Genomic DNA, 8,045 nt, shown 5'->3' with positions numbered 1-8,045 from the left:
CTGGCCTGTGTATTAGTATAATTTGCGTCTGTCATTTTTCTGTTTATACACTCTCATTTGTCTATGCAACCTCCCTCAAGTCCTCATGGAATGTATGCATTTAGTGTGTTTTTTAACAACAGTGGAAACACAGTTAATGCAAAGTTGATAGCCAACTGTAGGTGTCCAGTCTCTGCTAAAGAAAAAAAGTAAACATGAACAATAAAAACTCCCCTTCTCTCCCTGAAATGATTCAAAGGGAGAGAGAAAAGTGAGAGTAGGGAGAAGCTCTCTGCTAATAGACTATTTTCCAAAGGATGAAGAAAATAAAATTTTATGGACAGAAAGGCACCCCTTTGAGGACTTATTTATTGCATCCTTAACACCAAATCTTTTTCAGAGAGCTTTCAATTATTTATGAGTTAACACTCACAGCCCCTGCTCCAGCCCCTAGGAGGGGATTCTTTCCTCTGACAGCAGAGGAGAAAATGGAGGCTGACAGGAGTCAGGATGGTGACATTGGAGCCTCAATACACTAACATGGATCTGGACATGAAAAGTTTGAATCCGATCAAACTCGTTTGAAACCAGTTGCTAACTATGGAAGCAACTGGTTGTATCTCAAACGCTGACTTCCTTTTTCTTAGTTATACGGTTTATGGCTTGTCACTGATTGATGGATCAGAATTCCTTTGGTTATTTGAGATGGAAATCTAACTCAAAGCAACTAGGCAGAATAAACAATCGATTAGTTCATGTCCCTGGGAAATCTGGTTAAGGGGGCCGACCTCTGGAAAATCGGGTCCAGAGACTCACATGCCATCAGGACTTTTTCCCACCGTTATGAATTTTGGATAAGTTATCTTTGCTCTTTCTTACTGTAGAGAGGCTTTCTCTACATGATTTAGAAGATACCCTTGGATACTTTTTGCTTGGATTCAAAAGTAAGACCTCCCTCTCATTTGATCTCCAGATTTAAAAATCCTGGAGACGGATTCTAATTGGCCCAAATAGGGCCATATGATCATATGTAGCTCAATCATTTAGGCCAGTGCAAAAGGATCCTAATTGGCCCAACTTGGGCCATATGATCATATCTAGCCCAGTCACTGTGGCCAGTGCAAAAAGCGACTATAGTTGCCTGGGCCAGAGGTGTGGGTGGGGCAGGGTGCTAAGACTGGCAGTACAAACAGGATCACATGATTTGAGCTCCTTCCCAAAGGGAGGAATGCCCTGTTGCCAAAATCCACAGATATCTACTACCAGTATTATACTGTTTTTTTTTTCCTAATGGTTTTCCAATGCCCGAGAAGCTAGTTTCTATATCATTACTAAATGGGGTCTAACCAGTTCATTAAGCTGATTACTCAATCAAATTGAATTAATAGTATCTTTTTCTTTCTTTCCTAAATGAGTTTGTATATGAAGACAAGATCTCCAAGTCACAATGCATTTTTTTTAAAGAAAAATCAAAATGATTTTTTTTCTGATCAGGTTTCAAAGCAAGATGGAGAAAAGGATAAGGAGTTATTTTATTTTTCTAGCATATTTATATAAATATCAGTTTAATAAAATCACTTCTTACTCCTGGAATCATTTAGATAACTACCTAATCTTCCGCTTCAAACTCTAGATACATTCAGAGTATCAGGCTTCTCTGCTGAATAGCCACTTTTGCTGTCTTTCATGACTATTTTTTAGGTGTACACACTAAAACAAAGGCTTCCCAACTGTAAAATTGTGAACTTTGCCTTCAACATCCTCTAATGGTGAATTCTTTTCTTACCTTCCTGCTCATTTGCCCTATCCTTCAAGTGCCTCTCTACAATTTCTTTCTTTCTTTCTTTCTTTTTTTTGAGACAGAATCTCCCTCTGTTGCCCAGGCTGGAGTGCAGTGGTACAATCTCAGCTCACTGCAACCTCCGCCTCCCAGGTTCAAGCGATTCTTCTGCCTCAGCCTCCCGAGTAGCTGGGACTACAGGTGCACACCACCACACCAGGCTAATTTTTGTATTCTTAGTAGAAACGGGTTTCATCATATTGGCCAGGCTGGCCTTGAACTCCTGACCTGGCGATCTGCCTGCCTCGGCCTCCCAAAGTGCTAGGATTACAGGCGTGAGCCACTGCACCTGACCTATAATTTCTATTAAAAGCTATTATTAAGAAAACACCTTGTAACAGGTATATAGGGCAAGTTTGACTTTGCCAGATATTTTTGCATACCAAGTGCATTTACAAAGAAACTTAACAAACTTTGTGGAATAAAAGGCTTTGTCTTGGATAAGGAATTTGGGGGGATACAGTAAACATTAAGGAAATGTTTTTGGTTGGGAGAAATTTGGTCATGATCCTGAAGTCCCACTAGCTAGGCATTTCCCTACTCTATTGAGATTTCAGTCTAGTCTTAGTTACAGCTTTCAGCAGCCTCTCTCTAAAACACCTTCCTTAGATCATGGCCCAGTTTATCTAGATACCCTCAAGTAACTCTACAAAAGTAGGAAGAAAAGCCAGATGTTGAGTTTTAGGATTGTTTAAATGTGAGAAAACCTCTTTCTTACATGCAGAGTACCCTGGACTTTGAGCCAGGAGAGCTAGCTTCTAGCTAGTCTCACTAGGAACTTATGTGACCCTAGGCAAGTCACTCATTCTCTAAGGTTTCAAGTTCATTTATTATATTATAAAATATAGTTGGATAAAATAATGATTAGATCATTTCTAACATCCCATTCAACTCTTAAAGACTTTTCTGAGTCTTCGTTCATTTATTTAAAACATTTATCCAGTCGAAATGCTACTATCTCTTTCCAAATATATTGTGAGCATGAAGTCAGACCATGTATGTAAAATGCCCAGCGCAGTGTAGATGTTCAACAAATAGCAGTGGTAATGTTTATAGCTATTAATTATTTTACCACATAGTTCCCATGGCTTGGTATTTATGGACTGATTGTGTGTGCTGTTTTCTTTGTTGGTTTGTAACGACAGCCTTACTGTGGTAATAGTCCAAACACTTACATGTAGAGCCCTTACAAGCACTAAAGGAGACCCTACCATGTGGTACATATGATATATTATTGTCAACATTTCCCATGGGCCAAAAAGCCTACAATTATTCTGGAATTGAGGAGAATGTTCTGCTATACCAATGAAGGCAGATATGTCACAAAGAAGCTTCCCTTCTTCATCTTGTGCTCAGGGTGATTTATAAATCCATCATGGTTCCCTTTTTTTTTTTTGAGACGGAGTCTTGCTCTTGTTACCCAGCTGGAGTGCAGTGGCACAATCTTGGCTCACTGCAAGCTCCACCTCCTGGGTTCATGCCATTCTCCTGCCTCAGCCTCCCGAGTAGCTGGGACTGCAGGCTCCCGCCACCACACCCGCCTAATTTTTTGTATTTTTAGTAGAGAGGGGGTTTCACCGTGTTAGCCAGGATGGTCTTGATCTCCTGACCTCGTGATCCGCCCACCTCAGCCTGCCAAAGTGTTGGGATTACAGGCTTGAGCCACCGCACCCGGCCCACCGTTCCCTTTTATTGAGTATAGACTGGGCTCAGAATCCTCCTCAACACAGTGCCTTTGTTAGTGCAACACCCACTGGGGCCCTGGTTGTTACTGACTCCTTGTCTGGTGACTTTCTTACATAATCAAGCAGTGCCATCCACAGGTGGCAGGTCTTCCCCCTTCTGGTAGTATCCTTCTGGGGCTTTTTACTGGAAACTATCAAGTGGACAGATGGCTTCTAGTAATCTGTTATGTGAGTTCCTGTGTTGTAGGAATTACATAAAATCTAGGTGGCTAAAGTTCTGCTTCTACTTCTGAGCCTCAGTTTGCACACATATAGAATTAGGATGGTGATCCTGACTCATAGAGTTGCTGCCATGAGGGTTAAATGAGAGGAAAGGTGGAGTGCCTTGCACAGTACCTGGCACATAATAGATGCCTACACTGTGCTAGTTTCTTGCTAAGCTTAATACCTGATACGTACATGAATTTCTTTTTCAGCTCCAGAAACTTCAACAACTCCTTATTTCATGACGAATTAAGCATCAGCTCCCCATGTCCAGTCCATCCTTCTCTTTTATTGCTCTCCTTGGCAATGTGGTGCCAGCTACATTTAGTAGTCACACTTTCCCAAAGAAACCTTGCCTATTTCCGTCTCGATGCCTTAGCATTTCAGCTCTACCTCTCTCATTCATTATGTCATTCAGTGAATACTGATTGAGGAATTATTACATGCCAGACATTGTGCTGGGCAGAGAAGGTCCCTCTTCTTGTGAATACTTATTCTAGATGCAGGCAGGGAAGAGAACAATAAGCAAGTAAACAAGATATTATTAGGTGGCGATGAGTAATGCAAGAGTGAGTAACCTTAGAGCCAGTTTAGATAGGGTGGACAGGAAATGCCATCTGAGGAGATGACATTTTGCATTACCATGTGGATGGATGGGGAGCCAGCCTCACAAAGATCTAGGTGAAGGGGGTTTCAAGCTGAGAAAACAGCAAAAAGTGCTGAAGTGGGACTGTTCTTGGCATGTTTGAGGAACCGGACAGAAGCTGGAGTAGCTAAAAAACAGAGATCAAGGGAAGAGGGGTATAGATGGTCATGTAATCCAAGGTCAGAGGACCTTCTTCAGAGACTGGACACAAGAGGATGATGGCATTTGGAAGATGACCCAGGCACTTTGCCTTTATTCCCATCTGGCATGTACCAGGTCGAAACTTGTTTTACTTAGTGGTGCTTACGTGTCTCATTTTTCCTTCCTGACTGTCAACTTTCCAAGGGACAGGTCTATCACTTATTTGTCTCATTCTCCATGACATCTACTTGTGGACATGGGTGCTCATTACCTATGTTTGTTAGAAGGATGCATGTATATTATTCTGGGATAAAAGTAAAAGTGAAGCTTATTCAGTCTCTTGGGGGAAGGGAGGGCTCACCGATAAGTCTCTAAACTTGTTCTGGCTGCAGAGGCACCTGGCAAAAAGAGCTGGGAGACTGGGAAGAGCATAAACCACATTTGCAGGCAAAGTCCCCTGCTCTCTCTTGAGCCACGTTGTTAGGACTGTCTGATTGCCTGATTGAACCTCTGACCTTGGCTTCTCTAGCCTGTCTACGTATAGGGCCGAACTCTTCTGACTGCAGCTTCCTTCGCTAAACTCAACTTCTTACTTGCCTAAATTCATGTTAAGTGTTCATCTTCTCTGAAGGTTTACCTGATTTAAGATCTTCATCCTGCTCCTATTCAGCCTTATCTGGTCATCGTCCACATCCCAACATGCTACTGGGATGCTATAATTACATAAGACACGATTTCTCAGCCTTGGCACTATTGACACCTTGAGCTGCATAGTTCTTTGTTTTGTGGGGCTTCCCCGTGCATTGTAGGCTATTTAGCAGCACCCCTGGTCTCTATCCACTAAATGCCAGTTGCAACTCCATTCCCCAGTTTTGATAACCCAAAATGTCTCCAGATATTGCTAAATGTCTCCTGGGGACAAAAGCGCCCGTGGTTGAGAATTACTGAAAAACAGGATCTTAGATATTGTTAGGTTTATCTTCTTCCCTTCGTTTCACAGACTAGGACACTGAAGCCAAAAGTAGTGAAATGAGTTGCCCAGGGCCTTTACAGCATATTGATAGTAATGCAGGCAATAGACTTCATGTCTTTAAAATCTCTGTTTGCTGCTTTCCTTAGCACAGTGAAATCTCCCCAAGAGGTGGTCAAGTAAAGTGGAAATGCTATATGTAACTTTGGAGACAGACTTGGATTAGAATCTAGGCCAAGCCATTGGTTGGCTGCATGACTTTGGGTTCTAAGCTTCCATTTCCTCTTATGATGGTGATAAATCCCCATCTCACAGGATTGTTTTGAAGACAAAAAGATGTACTTGGAAACCCTAGCTTCCTGCCTGGTATGCAGTTAGTGCTGAGCAAATGCTGGTTCCCATTCCTTGATGTGCTATAAAAATGGCAAATAGCATTGAGGAAGAGGACTTAAGAGTTAGAGTCACCAGAGGACTCAGTGTGCCCAGGAAGATGCAGTTGATGGGCAGTGCCTTCCAGTGGACTTTGTTAAAAATGCAGGTGGTGTGATCTGGTGTCTATAATGGAAACAGCCAAGTAGTTTTCCGGTTTGGAAAATAACTGACCATGTTGAAGGCTGACTCATTTGACAAAGTTGTTTTTTCCCCTTTCCTGAGGAGGGACCTCTGTGATGATTATCTTATCTCTAATGTCTTGTGTCTCTTCTTATGCCCAGCAGAATGTTACGTTATTACAAATATGCCTAAAGGGTAAAAGAGCATGTAGAGCTCAAGTTGGGGACTCTGTCTTTTCCTCCTCTGATATCAGATAAATATAATGACATTTTCCTCTTTGGGACTATGGAGATTTGATATCTGGGGCTATCTTGCCCAGTCTAGGCTCTTACTCACTGGGACTCCTAGATAGAGGAGATACTGTTCACAGGTGCAATACTGGCCTCTGGCTTTCACAAGAAACCCAGTTCCCTTGGCCCATAGACATTCTTACAAGTCAGAATGTGCCCAGAGCAACAGAAAGGAGAAACCATACTGAAAAAGTGAACTACTATCAGGTGACCCGGGCTCTGTGATTGGTCTGGCCACTGACAAATACTCCTAATACAGCACTTCATAATTTTCAAAGAAGTTTTCATGAATGCTTTCTTTGATCCCCAGGATGGCCAGATTGTAGTAGTTCCCAACTTTGGCTGCACATTGTAATCACTTGGGAGTTCAAAGCAAACAATAATAATTATTATTTTAAAAAACCTACTATGCCTGCGCTTCATCTCAGACCGACTAAATCTGGAGATGTGTCTTGGACATTGGTGATTTTTTTAAACTTCCCTAGTTTATTCTAATGTGCAAGCAGGGTTGAGAATCATTGCCTTTGTCCCATTTCTTTGATGAGTAAAATAAGACTGAGGGCAGTACACTTTCTTGTCCAAGCTTGAAAGACAGAGCAGGGAGAAGCCAGGTATTGTAAACCCTAATCCATTGGCCTTCCCGCTATTGTTTCTCTACTCATGGTGTGACCTTTGGAAAGTAACTTCTTCAAGAACCCAACTTTTCTTCTTCTTTTTTTTTGTTTTTGAGATAGAATCTCTCTCTGTCGTCTGGGCTGGAGTGCAGTGGTGCGATCTCAGCTCACTGCAACCTCCACCTCCCAGGTTCAAGCAATTCTCCTGCCTCAGCCTCCTGAGTAGCTGGGATTACAGGCGTGTGCTACCACACCTGGGTAATTTTTGTATCTTTTCAGTAGAGACAGGATTTCACCACGTTGGCCAGGCTGGTCTCAAACTCCTGGTCTTAGGTGATCTGCCCACCTTGGCATCCCAAAGTATGGGATTACAGGCGTAAGCCACTGCGCCCAGCCAAGAACCTCACTATTTTTTTTACCTTTACCCCCATAGAAATTCCTTCTTAAATAGCACATAAGCATTTGTTATGGAACAAACTTGCTATTTTGTCTCTTATTCAAGATAGGTTGATTTTTTTACTTTATTTCAGTGAAAGACATCCATGCCCGCTCTGCAGGGCCTTGCTGACTCCATCTCAGTGCCCATCAGGGTGTAAATGACCAGATGAGCTAAAGAATAGGGATATAAAAGATTCAAGAAAAAGTCTTGGTGATCTTGACTTCCTTCCTCCCTCTTCCCCTCTCCTGGGCACACAGAGGACATCAAGTTAATAGTGAACTCTAAGGATCTGGAATGGAAGAAAAATCAGAGAATATGCGTTTCAACGTTCACACCTGTAGCATCTCTCTGACAGGGGGGTGCTGTTCTAAGTCCAGTGTTAACCTAATTTTACTATGGAGTTACTTTGACCACTAGTTGAACCTAAGTCCAATGCCCTTGTCATGACCAGAACTGATCCTGAACTTGACCAAACAGAAAAAGTTATCTCCGTTTTCCTCATGAAGGCTCTGGGGACCCTCTTCCAGGCTGGATCAACCATTGCTAATGGAACCTGGTTTTTAGTACCCTCCCTTACCTGCTTGCTACTCCTGAGCCTAGATCCATTGTAAAGCTGCTACAAATG

This window comes from Homo sapiens, chromosome 5, assembly GCF_000001405.40.
Source record: "Homo sapiens chromosome 5, GRCh38.p14 Primary Assembly".
In the NCBI taxonomy this organism is placed as follows: domain Eukaryota; kingdom Metazoa; phylum Chordata; class Mammalia; order Primates; family Hominidae; genus Homo; species Homo sapiens.
The sequence above is the reverse complement of the archived record's forward strand: the minus strand, read 5'-3'. Positions refer to the sequence as shown.